The sequence below is a fragment of the Homo sapiens genome, chromosome 8 (assembly GCF_000001405.40).
Source record: "Homo sapiens chromosome 8, GRCh38.p14 Primary Assembly".
Lineage (NCBI taxonomy): Eukaryota > Metazoa > Chordata > Mammalia > Primates > Hominidae > Homo > Homo sapiens.
In genome coordinates, this window is record NC_000008.11 from 29,147,084 (window position 1) to 29,168,097 (window position 21,014).

General features: G+C 41.2%; 1 protein-coding gene across 8 annotated transcripts in view; it reads right to left on the reverse strand.

The window, feature by feature from the left end:
- The window catches only part of KIF13B (kinesin family member 13B), a 196,111-nt gene that overhangs the window by 79,806 nt on the left and 95,291 nt on the right, over window positions 1-21,014 (reverse strand). For all 8 annotated transcript variants that reach the window (XM_011544459.4, XM_005273458.2, NM_015254.4 and 5 more), the window contains 7 exons: window positions 20,290-20,502; window positions 18,579-18,689; window positions 13,650-13,784; window positions 8,643-8,773; window positions 3,214-3,300; window positions 1,494-1,684; window positions 309-519 (listed from right to left, as the gene is read on the reverse strand). In XM_011544459.4, the coding sequence (XP_011542761.1) occupies window positions 309-519; window positions 1,494-1,684; window positions 3,214-3,300; window positions 8,643-8,773; window positions 13,650-13,784; window positions 18,579-18,689; window positions 20,290-20,502 (1,079 nt within the window). The remainder of the gene's footprint in view (window positions 1-308; window positions 520-1,493; window positions 1,685-3,213; window positions 3,301-8,642; window positions 8,774-13,649; window positions 13,785-18,578; window positions 18,690-20,289; window positions 20,503-21,014) is intronic.

Below are 21,014 nucleotides of genomic sequence, written 5' to 3' on the forward strand. Positions count from 1 at the left end.
CATCTACCCAAGCTTCAGAACCTAAAGCATAATACAATGATCAAGTGTACTTCTATATCCAAATCCAAAAGCCATACCAACTGAAAATGGAGCAACACCTAACACCAACAGTTTTAAATAATGCAATATAAATGGGCAATTCCCCTTTTAAAAACAAATGCAAAGTGGTTCTTGGCTGTTAACACTTATCTTTTAACATAATTCTTTTGTAAGCACCATCTTAATGTTCCCATTTGACACTTTCCCTAGGTGTGTTAGAGGTGGCAAGCCTGAGCTATAAAGTTAACAGGCCCCTCTGTGCCGCCTACCTCTCCTCAGCCCACTGTCTTAAGCGTTGCTGAGCGCTGGGCGAGTGGAAAGAAAACCTGTCCATGCTCCGGCAGTTCTGCTTCTCAGGAGACAGCCTTCTCCGGAGCTGCTCCAATTCGTGCTCATACATAAGCCTCTGGCGCTCCAGTGCAGATCGTTTTTCTTCTTCATGCTGTTGTTCTAAGCTGTTTAATATGGACTGCATCGGATCTAAACACATTTTTAAAAAAGATACATGATCGAGAGTTACAACATAATAAACTTCAAATGTTGTTCTATATGGTAATGTTGTCTGTCATCTTAACTATACCACCTAATACTTTAAAGACAATTTGGCATAAACTTAGCTTTCCTGACTTTCAATCACTCATGTTGTTATATATTCTCAGACATATCCTCAACCATCTTCCCTGCAGAAAAAGCAGGTCTATTATATGTTCTACACATAACCTAAGACATGGCGAATCCTCCAGAAATACAATCATAAGCCAATGACAGGCAAGTTTCTAAAGCAGAGAAATTTGACCGGGCACAGTGGCTCACACCTGTAATCCCAGCATTTTGGGAGGCCGAGGTGGGCGGATCACCTGAGGTCAGGAGTTTGAGACCAGCCTGGCCGACATGGCGAAACCTTGTCTCTATTGAAAATACAAAAGTGAGCCAGGCATGGTGGTGTGCACGCCTGTCATCCCAGCTACTCAGGAGGCTGAGGCAGGAGAATCGAATCACTTGAACCCAGGAGGCAGAGGTTGCAGGGAGCCGAGATCGTGCCACTGCACCCTAGCCTGGGCGACAGAGCGAGACTCTCTCACAAAAAATTAAAATAAAATAAACAAGAGAGATTCTATCCATCAGATCAAAGTGATCTGACTGCATATTAAGGCAGAACATTTTGATAAATATAAATTAAAGCCAAAGACACAAAATACAGAGAATAGCAACATAAAGATTTTCCTTTTTGTTAACATTTGAAAGTCCCCAATCATAAACATTTTTAACACTCTACCGTTTTTTTTTTTTTAAAGAGAGAACGTCTTGCTATGTTGCCCAGGCTAAAGAGCAGTGGTTATTCACGGGCACAGTCTCAGCTCACTGCAGCCTGGAACTCCTGGGCTCAAGCGATCTCCCCACCTCAGCCTCTACCAACTGGAACTGATTCTCAAGTGCACGCCCGACTTGCTCACCATTGCTGCCCAGGGCCTTCATGGTGACCTCCATCTGTGCGTATTCGTAATTAAAGTTAACTTCACTGGACACCTCGCTGGAGGAGTCTCCGTCTACATCCAGCTGCTCAGAACTATTCTCGTTCTTCATGGAGGGATCCTGGTCCTCATCCTCTCGTTCTGCTTTCTTTTTCTTTTTAGGCAAATTGAGTCTTGGTGGGAAAAAGAGTATTATTTTCTGAAGTTAAGATAGGCACTTATTCATGTCATTCATTAAGTACTGGTATCTGTTAGAAGCCAAGTGGATACCATGTAAGTACAAGGCAATTACTGTACTCAGGAAGTTGATAATCTTGTCGTAGAAATAAGACACTCATGTGCCAGCAAAAACTTACAACAGAAAGTATGACACTAGGCCACACGCCTGTGACAAGCTCAGAGTGAAAGGAAAGCTGAGGACGTTTTCAGAGCAAGGTGATAAAGGAAGGTGCGACAGGAGGAAATCATTTGAACTGAGTCTTCACGGATAAGGAGAAAGCAGGACAGAGGGAACAGTGTGGGAAAAGATGTGAAAATGGAAATGTTCATATTCCCTGGAGAAATGGGTAAAACAACGGGATATTCAAAATTTGTATAGCACACTAGAGCTAAAGCTGGAAAGATCAGCTTAATCCAAACGATGAGGGTTTTGAACACAAAACAAAGCAGTTTACACGTCATTTAATTTAGGAAGGAAAAAAATGCTCCATGCTCTTTGTGCCCATCTACCCTTTTCTCAGTAACCAAAATATCACTGGCCCATGGCAAAGGATCTCTGTTAGCTACAGAAAAGTCAGTATGACATCTGGAGCACACCGACCAGTGACAATAACAAGAGACCAGGATGTTAACTTTTTACAATATCCAGCCTGCCTGCCTTGTCAACACAACATCAATTTTGTTTGGGAAACCACATGTACAGCCCCAGGTGAGACACAGTCTTTCTCAGCCCCCTTTGTAGCTAAGAGGCAAATTCTAGCAAAGGAGACAGAAGGAGAAGATTGCTGGGGACTCTGGGAAGACTTCTCTGTTTTTTTGGATGAACAGGACAGTCAGGGCTAGTGCAGCTATGGTTCTCCTTTTTCTTCCTGTACCTGAATGCTGCTTTGACGGCAGTGCAGCATGGCCAACTTCAGGCCACAGAGAGATGCCAAGACAGTGACCAGACTTTAGCCATGACTTTTTTTGAGAGGCTTAGCCAACACTAACAACTATGTTCCTTTAGATTTCTGGTTCTGTCAGGGGAATAAATGATCTGTCTAACCCATTACAGTAAAATTTGCCATGACTTAGAGCTGAAAAGAATTCCTAAAAGAACCTTATTTTATAGATAAGGAAACTAAAACCACGACTACGTTTCCGTAAAAAAATAAATAAAAAAAAAGATAAACATGTCAGAAAAACATTAATAAATTCTTACACCACACGGCAAAAGAATCATCTTCTAGTGGGAAATAAAAGGGAAAAACTATGTAGGTAAACTCAGTATTTTTCCAGAGTATATTGTTTATATGTCCCTAGGGTTCAGACCATATACAGTGAATGAACACACACACACATATATAATACACATGCAGCAAATATATACGTACACACACAATAACATAATTGTTGTAGAGAAAGGTTTACTTTTTAACATGTATTTTCTATTTCAGAGCACAATCTTCAACAATCTCTTTAAGGGACATGAACAACATCATACCTGAAGAAATGATTGTTTCCCCATAATATCCTGTCCCCATGGTGTAGCTGTATTGGACTGGAGACAGATGACCCATTTACAAATGTTCTGTAAGGAGAAGAGATCAAACGTGAATGATGAGTACAGTATCATGTCTTCTGCTTTAATTTCCCAATAACATAGAGATATAGTTACTAGGGAAAACAATAATTCCCCCAAACACAACCTGTTCTTGGTGAATTTTAATATTTGCATTTACTCCTTTGCTGATTCACCTAAAATGTTTATGGTACAAAGCACAGGCACATCTCATTTTACTGCGCTTTGCTTTATTGTGCTTTGCAGATATCACATTTTTTACAAACGCTATCCTATGTTAAGCAAGGCTACAGGAGATACTTTTCAAACAGCACGTGCTCACTTCACGTCTGTCATGGAGGTCTGTGATAAGGGACCTCTGACCTCACCTCTCTAATTGTTTTTGGAACATCGTGAACTGCACCCATGTAAAATGGTAAATTTAGTAAATGTAGTATGGGTTTTGACTCTCTCCCTCTCCTCGGGTCTCTTTATTCCCCGAGACACAACCATATTGAAATTAGGCTAATTAATAACTACAATAACCTCTAACTGTTTAAGTAAAAGAAAGAGTCACACATCTCTCAAAAGGTGGAAATAATTAAGCTCAGTGAGGAATCACATCGAAAACCAAGACAGGACGAAAAGCCAGGCCTCCTGTACCAACAGTTGGCCAAGCTGTGAGTGCACATGAAAAGCTCTTGAAGGAAATTAAAGGTGCTTCTCCAGCGACTACATGAATGATAAGGCTGAACAGTCTTCCTGCTGATATGGAGAAAGTTCAGTGGTCTGGATGGAAAATCAACCCAGCCACAATATTCCCTCAACCAAACCCTAACCCAGAGCAAGGTCCTAACTCTCTTTAATTCTATGAACTGGGAGAAGTGAGGAAGCAACAGAAGAAAAGTTGGAAGCTAGCAGAGGTCGGTTCATGAGGTTTAAGGAAAGAAGCCACCTCTGTAACATAAAAGTGCAAGGTGAAGCAGCAAGTGCTGATGGAGAAGCTGCAGCAAGATCACTGATGAGATTTTTGATGTAGATGAAACAGACTTCTACTGGAAGAAGATGTCATCTCGAACTTTCTTAGCTAGAGAAGAGAAGTCAATGCCTGGCTTCAAAGCTTCAATGGCAGGCTGATTCTCTTAGGGGCTAATGTAGCTGGTGACTTTTAAGTTGATGCCAATGCTTACTGACCATTCTGAAAATCCTAGGGCCCTTAAGAATTATGCTAAATCAGCTCTGCCTGTGCTCTGTAAATGGAACAAAGCCTGGATGACAGTACGTCTGTTTACATCACAGTTTGCTGAATATTTTAAGCCCACTGTTGAGACCTAATGCTCAGAAGATTCCTTCCAAAATATTACTGCTCATTGATAATGCACCTGATCACCCAAGAGCTCTGATGGAGATGTACAAGGATATGAATGTTGTTTTCATGCCTGATAACACAACATCCACTCTGCAGCCCATGGATCAAGAATTTTCACTTTCAAGTCTTATCATTTAAAAAATACATTTCATAAGGCTATAGCTGCTATAGACAGTGATTCTTCTAATGGATCTTGGCAAAGTAAGTTAAAAACCTTCTGGAAAGGATTCGCCATTCTAAGATGCCATTAAGAACATTTGTTATTCAGAGGAGGAAGTAAAAATATCAACATTAACAAGGAATTTGGAAGGAGTCCAATCATCATGGATGCCTTCGGGGGGTTCAAGACTTTAGGGGAGGAAGTAACTGCAGGTGTGGTGGAAATAGCAAGAGACATGAATAAGAAGTGGAGACTGAAGATGTGGCTGAACTGCTGTGACCTCAAGACAAAACATTAGTGGGTAAGTTGATTCTTATGAATAAGCAAAGAAAGTGGTTTCTTGAGATGGAATCTACTCCTGGTGAAGATGCTGTGAACATTGCTGAAATGACAACAGAGGGTTTAGAATATTCCAGAAACTTAGTTGATAAAGCAGTGTCAGGGTCGAAGAAAACTGATTCCAATTTTGAAAAGTTCTACCGTGGGTAAAATACTACCAAACAGCAACACAGGCTACAGAGAAATCGTTCTTGAAAGAAAAAGTCAATCAATGTGGCAAATTTCACTGTTGTCACATTTTAAGAAATTGCCACAGCCATCCCAACCTTCAGCAAAACTACCACCTTGATCAGTGAGCAGCCACCAACATGGAGGCAAGACCTTCCTGCAGCAGAAAGGCTACCCCCTGCTGAAGGCTCCAGTGATTTTTTAGCAACAGAGTTTTAATTAAAAAAAAATTTTTTTTGAGACACAGTCTTGCTCTCTGTCACCCAGGCTGGGGTGTAGTGGTGTAATCTCGGTTCACTGAAACCTCTGCCTCCCAGGTTCAGGCGATGCTCCTGCCTCAACCTCTCGAGTAGCTGGGATTATTGGCTAGTAGAGACAGGGTCTTGCCATGTTGGTCAGGCTAGTCATGAACTCCTGACCTCAAGTAATCCGCCCACCTCAGCCTCTCAAAGTGCTGGGATTACAGGCGTGAGCCACCGCACCTAGCCGCAAAGTATTTTTAAGTTAAGGAATATATATTAAGATATAATGTTATTGCACAATTAGTAGACTATAGTATAAACCTAACTTATATATGCACTGGGGAATCAAAAATTTGTGTGACTTGCTTTACTATGATATTTGCTTCATTGTGGAAGTCCGAACCTGCAAAGTCTCCAACGTATGCCTGTATAATAGATTATTATCCCCCATTTTTCAAAGTTCCAAGTGCTATGTAGTTACTTAAGATGCTTATGGTATGAAGTATTAGAGATCAATAAATAACCTCCATTTTTAAAAGTTCTAAATTTGTTCCACAGTATATTAAGGAGTAAAGAGGGAACCATTACAGCCAATAATGAAAAGATGGTAGCAATATACAACAAAAACAAATATGTCCAATCTACGTGAATGAAAATAACCAAACAACCAGACTCTACAAACATCTCCTGATATCAGTAATGAGAAATGAGACCTATATTAAAGTCTTCGGTAACTTCCCATAGCAAGGAAAATGATCACATCCTATCAATATAAGGAAAATTTACCAGTTCCACTGTGCTGCTTATCATGAAAATGGCATTCAACAGAAGTGGTGGGTAGAATACCACTAAGGGAAGAATTTGGAAGGGCGGGAAATAATTAAGAGTATGCACAGCATGGTAACACTGATATTCCTGGGACACCAGTGTCATCATGCCCCTCTCCTGCTGAAGGACTCGTTTATTAAGATACAGGATATCAAGTACAATTTTTTTAACTTTACATTAAAGGCTCTTCCTCCCACAAGGAAGGCCTCTTAACTCCTGCCAAAAAAAAAAAAAGAAAAGGCTTATTTTCTGTACACTACACATGATCAACTCTTCCTCCAAATCCAGGCTTCTATCAGTCCTACAACCTGGAGAAAGGTTCCCATTCCTCTCATCCTCCTACTCTTACTCTGTAATCCAAGCCCAGCTGGGTTTCTACTTCCTCTGTAAGAGATGCCAATCACCTCAACCTACAGTATTTTAGTTTCTTTAAACTCTGTAAAGCTATGGAGCATTTACCTGGTGATATAGTATTCGTGATTTATGTGTATGCATACATGCAAAATTTTATTTCCTATCTAGATTTCTTTCATGATGCAGGTTTTTACACACTAAAAGTAACTGGATCTTGGCGAGGCACAGTAGTTTATGCCTGTAATCCAGCACTTTGTGAGGTCAAGGAGGGAGGATCATTTGAGCCCAGAAGTTTAAGGCCAATCTGGGCAACATATCAAAACCCTGTATCTACAAAACTAAGTTTTTAAAAGATTAGGTGGGTGTGGTAACACGCACCTGTAGTCCCAGCTACTCAGCAGGACGAGGTGGGAGGATCATTTGAGCTCAGAACTTGGAGGCTGCAGTGAGCTATGATTGCACCACTGCACTACAGCCTGGGTGACAGAATAAGGCCCTGTCAAGAAGAGGGAAGGAAAGGAGGGAAGGGATCGGGAGAAGGGAAGGGGAGAGGAGGAAGTGAGGCACAGAAGAGGGCAGAGGGGAAGAGGGGAGGGGAGGCAGGGAGCCGGTGTGAGAAAGAAACTGTTGTAAGATTTTGGCTCTGGGTGGATGACTTCAGACAGAATTTAAGAACGCAGGGGTTCCACATATGCTGGGTACTGTCAGAAAGTGGGAGTAATCGTATGAATGGGTATTTCACAAAATCGTATCCATGGGTTCAGGCTAGAACAGAATAACGCTGCAACTGGTGAAGAAGTAGCAGTCACTCATACTGGTTCAGAGAAGGGTATTCTTTGGGTGGCACAGTGACCATGTTTTCATCTGCACTTAAACGCAACGATGACGTGGCCTGCTCTGTCTTATTGCATCCTGGTCTTGGAGAACCCTTGCCTGAGGCTGGGGTTCTGTGTGATTATTTATGGCCTCATTAGAGAACAGCACAACACAGCTGTGAGGGCCACACCAGCTTCTGCTCCTGTTTTCTCACTTGATCCTTCCCCAGAGCTTGATAGTCTCAATACTTGAAGACTTTATGGATAAAATCAGTGATATTAATGATTTTTTGACATCATAAAATGAAACAAATTAGCATTTGAAAGGTCAACATAATTCAGTTAACCACTGTCTCTAACAGTTACAGACTGTTATACTTCCAACTCTGTAACAGGGGATAACAGCTCTATAGCTGAAGGAAACAAAGTGACAAACGTGCCATTCATAAAATTTGGAGCCCCTTCATTCCTCCATGGTGTATTAAGTTCCTGTGTACTAGTCTCATATTATGCGCCAGGAATGGAGAATCAAAAAAAGAAAGGCCCTTGTCCTCAAGCAGCTCATGGTCTAATGGGGTAATAAGGGTTCACAGCCCACAGGCAGACACTAAGAAGCACTGCCACAACAGGGCGATGGTCCGATACCTCTTAAGGGCAGTGCATTCAGACCAAACAGTGACTCCCCACAGGAGAACATGGCAGCACTTAACCCTGCAGACCCAACAGGAGTTAGCAGGTCAAAGGATTGGCAGGTGCTGAGGAGGAGGAGATAAACTGGGGGGTTATAAGGGATTTTCTGTCACAAACAGAGGAAAGCCTTCTAGGGCTGTGGTGAGTGAACCAGGAGGCAGCTCGTGGTGTTGGCAGGGGCTCTGATCAAGACTTGATGAGGGCCTAAATACGTAAGGCCATGGCAGTGGGTATAGAGAGGAAGGAATGGGTGTGAGAGGCATTAAAGCTAAATGTAAGGGGCCCGCCCAACCAACTGGATTACTTAATGTGGTCAACTTAAAAGCAACAAAGGCCACTGTTGCCACTAGAGTACTTTCTTCCTCTGAAAAACTCTTGTGATATGAACACTAATTCAAGTATGTTACCTGGTGTTCTTCTGAGGAGTCAGCATAACCTGGCCTTCTGACGTGATGTCTATAATACAGTGTTCAGGAAGAATTCCCATGCCGCACAGTTGGATATCTTGGGAATTTGCTGACCCTATCAATGTATGTTCCTAAGAAAAAACCAAATTCACTGATTAATACTGTATTCTTACATATACACAATTGAAATCATTTACACTGAGCCCTCTTATATTGTCCTATTACCTTTGCGAAAATTTTTTTTATTTTTATTTTATTTTTGAGACAGAGTCTTGCTCTATCCCCCATGCTGGAAGGCAATGGTGCAATCTCAGCTCACTGCAACCTCCGCCTCCCAGGTTCAAGCGATTCTCCTGCCTCAGCCACCCGAGTAGCTGGGATTACAGGCATGCACCACCATGCCCAGCTCATTTTTTTGTATTTTTAGTACAGACAGGGTTTCACCATGTTGGCCAGGCTGGTCTCAAACTCCTGACCTCAAGTGATCCACCTGTCTTGGCCTCTCAAAGTGCTGGGATTACAGGTGTGAGTCACCATGCCTGGCCTAAAAGATTTTTTAAAAGCAAATGAAGCCAGGCATGGTTGAAACAAAAACAGGAAGGGAGCGAGATTTGGCCTGTGAAAAGCAGTTGGTTGACCCTGACCTAGACTAACTCACCTACTCCCATGGTTTTAAATGCCATCTACAAATAAACTACATCTCTATCACCACCCTAGAGCTACATACTTTAGTTCCGTTTTTTTCCCCACCTCCACAACCACTATCGCAGTCTTAGTCACTTATTTTTTATTTATTTATTTATTTTTGAGACAGGGTCTTTTTCTGTCACCCAGGCTGGAGTGCAGAGACACTATCCATGCTCACTAAACCTCACCTTCTTGGGCTCAAGCAATCTTCCTGTCTCAGCCTCTGAGTAGCTGAGATCACAGGCAGGCACCACCTTGACCAACTAATTTTTTTTTTTTTTTTTTTTTTGTAGAGACAGGGTCTCACTATGTTGCTCAGGTTGATCTCAAACTCCTGGGCTCAAGCAATCCTTCCACTTCACCCTCCTGAAGTACTGGGATGACATGTGTGAGCGACTGTGCCCAGCCTCAGCCACTATTATTTTCTGCCTACTCAGCCTACTTGACACAACTTGGATGTCTGAAGATATATCAAATGGAATAAGCGCCAAAGCTAAACTCTTGTTCCCATCTCCCCTAACCCAACAGAAGTCTATTTCCTTCTCCAATAATAATGGATGGCACTACCACCACCAGTCAGTCAACTGAAAAGCTTAGATATAATTCTTGAGTCCTCTTTCTTTCTCTTACAAGCCCATACCCACCCCATGTCAATCAGGGAAAACCTTACAGATTTTTCCTCCAAGGTCTATCAAGAATAAGCTTGTGATCCCCACCTCCATGACTACATCCTAGATTCAGCCTCCAGGATCTCTTGCCTGTGGATACAGGAGCTTCCTACTGTGTCTCCATTGCATGCCACTCCCTTCCACTCCTGCCACAACAGCTGGTCACACCATCCCCTATTTAAAACCTTCTAAGAGTGGGCATGGTAGCTTACACCTGTAATCCCAGCAATTTGGGAAGCCAAGGCAGGAGAATCGCTTGAACCTAGGAGATCAAGACCAGCCCGGGCAACACAGTGAGACCTCGTCTCTACCAAAAAAAAAAAAAAAAAAAAAAAATTGTGGCCAGGTGCGGTGGCTCATACCTGTGATCCCAGCACTTTGGGAGGCTGAGGTGGGTGGATCACTCAAAGTCAGGAGTTCAAGCCCAGCCTGGCCAACATGGTGAAACCTTGTCTCTACTAAGAATACAAAAAAATTAGCCAGGTGTGGTGGCACATGCCTATAATCATAGCTACTCGGGAGGCTGAGGCAGGAGAGTGGCTTGAACCTGGGAGGTGGAGGTTGCAGTGAGCTGAGATCGTGCCACTGCACTCCAGCCTGGGCGAAAGAGCAAGACTCCGTCTCAATAAATAAATAAATAAATATAAAAATGAGGCAGGAAGATTACTTGAGCCCAGGAGATTGAGGCTGCAATAAGCCATAATCGTACCACTGCACTCTCACCTGGGTGACAGAACAAGACCCTGCCTCAAAAAAAAAAAAAAAAAAAGTAAGAATAAAACCTTCTAGTGGCTTCTCTTTGAACTTCCAATAAAGCCCAAATTCTTACCCGGGCTTACAAAGCATTCTACAACCTGTCCCTGCCTGTCTCTGACCCTCACACTCACCATCTTCCCCTCACAGAGCATGTGCCAGCTACATCGGCCTCCCATCTGTTCTTTGAGCACACTGAGCCTATTTCCATCCTACTGCCTTTTACTAGCTGTTTCCTCCGTCTGAAATGTTCTTCCCCTGATCCTGACATGGGTCATTTCTTACCGTTTCTATCTCAGCTTTTAAAGTCACATCCTCAGAGAGGTGCTTCCTGAGCTCACAATTGGAAAAAGCCACTGTCATCCTGCCCTATTTTAACTCCTTCCATGACACTGACTGACTGTGGGTTTACTGTCCATCTTGTATTCCAAGCACTTAACAAAGGCCTGGCATATGTAGGCATTAAAAAAATATAAAAATAAATGCACAATCATTTCCTTTTGTGTGCCCAGGTAATCAAAATAAGATAAAGTTAAGCAGGGATAGCATCTCAGTCTCTTTATTGATAGATGGGTATAATGATTCTGAAGTATGCTACTATAAAGAATTCCAGGATAAATAAAGGGGGTGTTATATTCTAGAAGACTAAGAGAACTGTACAGCTGGAACTAGAAAGAACTTTGGAGATGTTTTAATCCAATGCCTTCACTTACACATGGAGTGGCTGAAGTCATCCAGAGACGTGAATTCATCTGCCCAGCATCTAAATTGACTTTTGAATTGGAAGGCAAAGTAATGAATAATGCTCAGCCTCCAAATTCCACCATAAAACTGTTCTTGGACTGAGATCATCCTTTTGAATGTGCTTTGTCTTGAAGATATGCTTGCTGTGGGGTTAGCTTGGGCGATCAAGAAATCAACACTGCCTCAGACTTGGCCAAACAGGGCTGGCCACACAGTCTGAAACACAACCCAAACACCTCCACACAAGATGACCAGAAACTTTGATGACTCTCCAAACATCTTTAAACAGCTTCTTTGTTTACGTTTTTAGTTAAGGAGCAGATATGAATCAGAGTTTTTTCTTGATATGTGTGTTTGTGTGTACCAATTTGAACTACAGTACAATGCAAAGAAAAAGAATGTCTGGTTCTGAGAAAAGGACAGAATATTTAGGTCCTATTCTAACATCGCATCTCTTCCCACGTAGTCAGCTCGTTAGCTTTACTTTCCCGGTCACATTCATATGAATATCCCCAGCTGACATCCTAACTCAGAATGCTACCAGCACTGTTCAGAAGCAAAGTAAGTAATGTGATAATACATTTTTTTTTTGAAACAGAGTCTTGCTCTGTTGCCCAGGCTGGGATGCAGTGGCATGATCTCAGCTCACTGCAACCTCCACCTCTTAGGTTCAAGCGATTGGCCTGCCTCAACCTCTCAAGTAGCTGGGACTACAGGCATGTACCACCACCCCGGCTAATTTTTATATTTTTAGTAGAGACGGAGTTTCATCATGTTGGCCAGGCTGGTCTTGAACTCCTGACCTCAAGTGATCTGCCCGCCTCAGCCTCCCAAAGTGCTGGGATTACAGGTGTGAGCCACCACGCCCAGCCAATAATATATCATTTTTTAATAGGCAAGGATAATATGTGTATAAGAAACCATACAGGTATCAAACAAAAAAGTGGAATGTGGGATCTTTTCTATTTGTATAGTGCTTCTGTTTACGAAGTACTTCTGTATCTCCAACCCTCACAGGAACCTGGCAAAGTAGCCAGAGACCTTCCCTCCATTTACAAAGGAATTAGACTAGAGGGGGCAAAGGGCTTGGCCGTAGACTAGAGAGACAGGTCACTCCCTCCTACCCCAGCTTTGCCGCCACTGAACCACAACACTTGAGACATGCACATATGAAGGTATGCATCAAAGACACAGCCTAACTCACAGCATGACAATACATCATATAAGATACTTATTAACAACAGGGCTTCTCAAAATGACACAGAGTCACTGACCCAGGATCTCTCCAGGCTTTTCTGAAATGAAACCACACAATTCTCTTAGAGCTGTTTCCCACATAGTCAGCCTGTTAGCTTTACTTTCCTGGTCATGTTCATTAAACCCACACATGTGAGGGGAAAGAAACTGTGTGCCAACAGTTATCAACTCTGTGTTAGAGTCGTGTAGTCCATCATATATGATAAGTAATTTGTGCTCTGGGCTTGACACAGCCCATTCTGGGCACTCCTCGAATCTGTGTGGTGTCTCAGGGTTCAGACTTATTCTGAAGTTGTCTCTTATCTTACTAATATATCCCATGATTTATAGATTTCAGTGGATACCAATATTTGTCTTCTTTTCTGTTCTGTGCTCTGACTCACTGAGTCTCTAAATAACCTATACTCTCTCTCTTTTAATAGATTGATAACCCAAATTTTTAATTTTTCCTAAGAGTTACTGGAAACATAAATTTCATACCAACTGGTCCTAAGAACTTTATTTATACATTTTTTTCTTGTGAGCTAACACACTGCTCACAAAAGAATGTGCTTCACATAAACCATAAAAGCTTTCGTATACTTACTAAATGAATCATTTAGTCTTCAAAGTCATCCATTTTTAAAGTTATCTACTTAATTCCCTGATACAAATCACGTTAAATAATGGTAGGTAAGGTATTTGACTTGTTGGAAATAATATCAGAGTATCATTTTTTTATATTGTCAGGTTGAATGGCATCAAAGACTAAAAAAGAAAACTGAGTCCAGAAACCCAAGATGGTTCTATAACTTTTTGCTGTTTTCTGAGTAAGCATGGTTCCCCAAGTTTACTAAAGTACTGTGAAATATTGTCCTATTTTGTAACAAGAATCTAGTAGCAAAGCACATTACTTCACCTTTAAATAGTACACCAGAAGCTCATTCAGAGCTGGGTCAGCATTCAGATTCACAAGGAAGCATTTATCATCCCCAACTTTGATTCCCGAAGACTGAAGAGATATTCCAAGACTCTCAAGCTGTTTCTGTCGTTCCTGTAAATGTTATCAGAGAAGTATTAATTTCACAGCTATTGAGGCAGTGAGATATCCAAGCGTTTACATTACAATGTTACAATTATTCAATAGTGTTGTAATTCAAATACATTCTCTTAGGCTATGGCATTATAGATTTATTGCATTTTTCTCTTTCCAAACTATATGATTTTTTTGTTAATTCTAATTTTATTTTGAAAAATAAAGTCTATTACATATAGTAACTAATTGTACTAGTGATTCTCAGTTTTCATTCTTGAAAATATCTGATGTCTTGAATTCATCTCATTTAACTCTGTATATATAAAAGCAAAAGTGTGTGCACTTTCCTCAACCGGGATCCTTCTTAAAAGCAAAGGAGGATCAATAAACTCTCCTGCTTGACATCTTCAGTGACCTCCCCATCAGGATAAAGGCCAAACTCCCTCAGTAAGGATCACAAGGCCCTTCAACCTGGCCTGCTTCCCCTCTGGCTTCATGTCTTCTCACTCCTGTCAAACCCAGCACTGCATGAAACAAGTTCCAGGTCCTTGAGAGTGCTAAGAATGTTCTCTGGGCTGGGTGTGGTGGCTCATGCCTGTAATCCCAGCACTGTGGGAGGCCAAGGCAGGCAGATCACTTGAGGTCAGGCGTTCAAGACCAGCCTGGTGAAACCCCATCTCTACTAAAAATATAAAAATTAGCCAGCTGTGGCAGCAGGTGCCTGTAATCCCAGCTACTCGGGAAGGTGAGGCAGGAGAATCACTTGAACCCGGGAGGTGGAGGTTGTGGTGAGCCGAGATCATGCCATTGTACTCCAGCCTGGGCGACAGAGAAAGACTCCATCTCAAAACCCCCCCCCAAAAAAAAACAAAAAACAAACAAACAAAACAAACGTTCTCTGTGTTCTCGTTAGCTGAAAAGATTTTATACCTCTTTTTTCTATCTGGAGCAGACGTGTTCTACTTCGTAACTGTTCACCGGGCCATTTCTCTCACACAGGACTGTGTGCTGTGTGGGTATGGATCCTATCTTATATACTGTTGTGTTCCCAGCACTTAGCACAGTGAAGGACACATGGTGAGCACTCAAAACATCAGTGTGGTGAATTTATCCAAAAACAAACAAATTTGCATATGCACTCAAGCGTTATTTTCATAACACGGGCCTTTCCTTTTTTGTGCCTGCCTCTGAACCCATACAATATATGAACATCTGTACATCGTAAGGATATGGGCATGGATCTCACAACCAGATGCTCTGTAGTTAGGGTACAGTCGGGGCTGGAGAGGGTATCTTCGACTATGGGTAAATAGCAAGTAGCAATGAGTCAATCACCCAAGACCTCTGATTCTGGGGAAAGGCAAGACAAACTAAGTCATTTAACTACAGCCACAAAGTAAGTTCGCAGCATAATTAAAATAAAGTTTCACAATTTTGCTATTTCTAGGCATGCCATCGTAATTTATACAATCACTGCAACTCAGCCAATATATCCTGCCTAGAAGTATACTACCACAAAATTGAAATGTGTATTTTGGTCCTGGGTCTTCAAATCAAGTCTTTAAATCCAGTTCTAACAAAAAGAACTACAGGGTTCTTTCAGAAGTTTTGAGTCATTTAATGCTAACCATCAGAGTTTTCTGCACTCAATTCCAAGAAGTGATTCTCCTTGAAAAAGACTCATGTCCATAAGATGAGGTAACTAACTATACCTTTCTCTAAGTTATCCTAGTTATCACTGTTTTACACTACTTCCCTGTGCATATTTCTGTCATTTGAGATTCTATAATGGTAAAAACGCTACAAAATTTTTGTCAAAGCCGAAAGAGGCACAATGGTGGAAAACTGTCAATTCATTATTCCGTTTGCCACCAAAAACTAAAGTTTTAAATCATCTAAAAAAATTACAAATGTTTGTAACATCTAGGAATCAGCTCATAACAAAGTACTATATGATAAAATACAGTTTACTGATATCATCAAATATTGCTTCTGATATCAGGGGTTGGTTAACTTTTCCTATAAAATGTCGGATAGTAAATATTTAGTCTTTGTGGGCCATGGGGTCTCTGTCTTATTCATTCCTGCTGCCGAAGCCATACATAATACATAAACAAATGAGCACAGCTATATGACAAAAAAATTTACAAAAGCAAGTGGCAGACCAGGTTTAAATCACATGCATTGTCTGTCAACCCCTGATCTATCTCAAGGTTTTGATTTCACTTAAGTGTGTATCTTTTAATGGGAACATAAAAGATAAAAATAAGGGACAATGTGGTATAGCAGATATGGCACTGGAATTAGAAAATACTCATCTTGAGTTCTTTCTATGCAAAAATATTACTGAGCATACAACACTAAAAGATACAGTCTTTTTTCTTAAGAACTTACAAACTCAACAGGGACTAAAACTATACATAACAATTAAACAATGGTGAAGTATTGGATGATGTAAGGGTCAAAGGGTGCAGAGGCTGCAGAGAATTCTGTGGTAGGGCCATCCGAGGGCTTGCACCCCACAGGAAGATGTTACAGAGCCCAGAGGACCCATGGAGAACCCAGCTAACTTGCAACTGCCCCCAGAATGACGTGAGAAGTCCTTCAAAAAAGAAATTCATTGAATTCAGTTTGCCCGGAAATTGCCAAATTTATCTGACCATGGACCATGTCAACTGACATGTCTCAAGTCATCTTCCAGAAGACTTATTAACACTTTGTAGCTCTACTGTCAGAAATAGATTTTGAAAGATATCAGTTTGGATTAGGAAGAAGTAAGTGATCAAGAGACCAGGTTTCTTCAATGAGAAAAGAAAAACATTCAACAGCACTAAAGCCTGGGAGCTCTGGAAGGTTAAGGCATTGAAGGAGCTGTTGAATAAAATCAGGCAGTGCCCCCAGAAGGGACCCCTGAGAGAGGAAAAGAAAAGGTGCCAACACTAAGCTCCCCAAGATGTAGGCTCACTTAGACTTGCCCTGTTTTCTATCAGCACAATGACTCATGACAACAAATGTTTACTGTTGGAGCAGCTCAGAATGGCTCACACAAAGTAGCTTCCAAATGGGACAATTATTAGAATGACTTATAATTTATAAAAAACACAGGGAGATATGTAATGAGAAATAGTTTATACACTGATCTCTTCTCTATAATTTTAGGGATATGCTTTAAGATAAGCCAATGCAGGGACACAAAAACAACACTGGCCATATGCTGATCTTTAATGAAACCAGGTGATGGGTACCTATAGATTTAGTATACTCTTCTCTAATTTTTATCTACTTTGAAAATGTCTGCAATAAAAATGTTTTTAAAATCTATTTTAATCCCAGTCTGTGCTAATATAACATCCACTTTATGCTAAGTAACAACAGTATCATCCTACAACATCTGATACACAGATTGATTCTGGACAGCACATTTCAAGATGGAATCTACTGAGTGAAAACAGATTGAGCAAGTTCTATATATTCTCTAATACAAGGAACAGTTAAAAACAACAGGGAATTTTAACTTAGAAAAGGAAGAGGAAGAGGCAGAGAGATGACTTTAAATAGATGAACAACTTGGGTAGTAACAGTCCCTATCTTGTTAGACTACTGAGAGGATTACATCAAGTTCTGTAGTTAAAAGTGCTTAGCATAGGGCTCAATACATAAGTGTATCCAATAAACGCTGGCTGTTACTGCCATCACCAGTTACTGTGTTTGGGTGGGACACTTAACGCTCTTAGCTACAAAAGAACAAACTAGGGCCAGTGAGTAGAAGTAAAAGAATAAAAGACTGATTCAATCGCTACTACTGGAGTTGTCTGATTATGAAAAGCCTGTTAGATGGGGTCCTGAGCTCCACATTACCATATGTATTTCTAAAACAGTTGGAAAATCATGAAACAGGAAAGCTACAGTGTAAATCTATTATTAGGTAGACAGACTTTTTCTCCCAATGCTAAACTTAACTAGATCTTCCTAGACGAATTCTAATGTTCCTACCCTAACGTGTTTTTTTTTTTTTTTAGATGGAGTCTTGCTCTGTCACCCAGGCTGGAGTGCAGTGGCACGATCTCAGTTCACTCCAATCTCCACCTCCCGGGTTCAAGCGATTCTTGTGCCTCAGCCTCCCAAGTAGCTGAGACTACAGGTGTGTGCCACCACGCCTAGCTAATTTTTGTGTTTTTGGTAGAAACAGGGTTTTGACATGTTAGCCAGGCTGGGCTCAAACTCCTGACCTCAGGTGATCCACCTGTCTTGGCCTTCCAAAATGCTGGGATTACATGTGTGAGCCATCACACCCAGCCACCACCCTACGATTTCATAACTATCACTGTCACTAGAAAATGGTGAGAGACAGTCACCTCAGATTTAGGAATTTCATCTTACTTTCACTGGGTTTTCACATGGAACCAAGAAGTTCATGGCCTAATATCTATTAGCAGTATTTTTTTTTCTTGGCCACATGCACTAGATGGAGTAATTTTGTAATTTCAGGAAGTTCCTTAGGTCTCCAAAGCACTTAATAGAATGCGGTGTTAAGAGCCAGGGGCTACAAAGGAGTTATTTCATTAAATTTTTTTTAAAGATTACTGATACTAAAAAATTATTTCTTACATAAACAATCAAGTGCAATTATATCCTGTTTATCCTTCAAATTAATTTTGCAAAGTATAGATTCTTTCAGATCTAGATTCCTAATGATAGTGTGAGATTTGCCATCAGCCAAGCTGAAGATCAAAAAGGAACCAGAAACACCATGTGTCCCATTGTGCAAACTGCCATGAGGTTTCATGCGCTTCATCATCAGGAAACACGAACCTGTGCAATCTCCTCCGTTTTCCTTAATTTCTCCTCCCAGGTCACAGTCATTTCCTGGATTAGCTTCTCAGATTCTTCCAGCCGGTCCTTTAGCTCTGGAGATTTCATTGCCTACAAGCAAAATGTTTACTTCATGAAATGTCTAGAAGATGCCCTGGAAAAAGAAGTGGCCAACTCTAAAAGGACAAAAGTAACAATCTGCCTCCTCATGGCTGAATGTCACGCTGAGGTCTGACATCTACTTCGATTGTAGATCGAAGTACCTCGATTGTCTGAGGACCACAAACTCATTGAGTTATCCAAAATATGCCCAAAAAGAAGGCTTTTTCCTTTTCTGACACTCTATTGTGAAGATATAATTACATTTAAGGATGCAAAAATGTAAAGCTTCTAAGGGTTTATCTTTAAAATCCTAATAGGTTATACATCTAGACTCAGACACATGATTCATTCTAGCCCTTATTGATGACTTCAGGAATTTATCCACATATGTACAGACTAAATGTGTACATGTTGCAGACTGGATGGTGTTATTAACACCAAGGAGACAACAGTCTTCATGGACTATAAAATTATTCCTATAAAAACAGGATAAAATTCAACAGGTAAAAATACGATCAAGATAATCATCCTGACCATGTCTCTTACTGATTTATTCCCAGAAAACAGGTATGAGAAAGAAAGCAAACTCCAGAAAGAGCCCCACAGTGCTGAGTAACTGTGGGAAGAGAAATGCTAATGAAAGTAGGAATCCTGGCCGAGCACGGTGGCTCACGCCTGTAATCCCAGCACTTTGGGAGGCCGAGGCGGGCGTATCACCTGAGGTCAGGAGTTCAAGTTCAAGACCAGCCTGACCAACATGGAGAAACCCTGTCTCTATAAAAACTACAAAATTAGCTGGGCGTGGTGGCGTGCGCCTGTAATCCCAGCTACTCAGGAGGCTGAGGCAGGGGAATCACTTGAACCCAGGAGGCAGAGGTTGCAGTGAGCTGAGATCACACCATTGCACTCCAGCGTGGGCAACAAGAGTGAAACTCCACCTCAAAAAAAAAAAAAAAAAGTAGGAATCCTGAATCTAATATTTCATTCCACTTTCCCAAGAAGATGAGCACTTGGGATTGCAGGTCAGAGTTGGTAGGTTTTCAAATTTATTAATGCAACATTATCCATTACAGAATACACAGAAAACAGCTGTAATAGAGTACCACTAAATACATGGGTACTTCTACTACAAAATATTTTCTACAAACGTAATTAATCCACAACATGGAAAAGCTAGATTATGAAGGTGTAGAAGACTCAAGATTTTCATTCCGACTTCTACCAGGTAACAAATGAGATTCAACAAAAATCCTGCTCTCCATCATTTTCTGCACAAAAATTAAAATTACATACACATGGTCTCCAGCATCTCTCTTCCTCTCCTATTCTATTATACCTCTCTCTTTTGTCTGCCGCCTGAATAGAAATGCAAACATTTTCTCAATTCTATTTGCTCCTGTTCAATCTTTTTAACATCTGTAAAACCTCTTTGGAATTCTAATATGACAACCTTCCTTTATTTATTACTCATCCCAAAGTTCTCTTGCTGTAAGAAATTCGCAAATTTTAAGTAGAGTACTCATCCCTCACAGCCCAGGGGAAGGAAATTCAAGCTCTAGGCTGATTCCTCTTCCTGGACTCACAGGGCGCACGCGGTGGTGCCTCCTACCTCTGCTTTGGTCAGCTGCTCCCGGAGTTTCTCAACTTCTTCCCGGAGATCCCGGATAATTCGGGCATTAGGGTCCTCATTCACCACAGCGTGGTTTACAATGTGCTTGGCTCGATCTGCATACCGCAGAGTTGAGAGGGTTTCATCATAGTTATCAGCTGCAGGACTCACAGTAGCCACCATGGCGGTCTTGCTGTTACCCCCGAGGCTGTCCTACAGGAGAAAACAGAAAGTTGAGTAGCATATTAAAGTTGGAAGAAGACGTCATATGAGAAACCTGAAATCAAAAATGGTGAACAAATTTCCCCAGGTCAAACACATTCAATGACAGAGCCAGGGCTAAAATGCAGGTGTATGGACTCGAGTCCTGTGCTGTTTCTTCTCTGCCAAGCCATTGCACTAAAAATAGGGAGTTTTAGCCTTTGATAAAGGACGGGGAAATGTCATGAAACCTACCTTTATTTCGGTTTAACACAAATTAATTCTAAGTCATCTGCCCTATTTTATAGGCAAGATGATACCACAAGAACACAGACTACTCGGAATAAAAAAGGACTCCTTAAATGCCTCCAACATCTTCCTCCTTAGAGGAACAAGCATGATACTTACTTGGCAACCTCCTCCACAACCCCCTGTACTGGGAGTCTCTGTGAAGCCTAATAATGGCTCAGAAAGTTGCTGTTACAAGCTATCAAGCACCTTGTAAAGTTTTTAAAACATAAGGT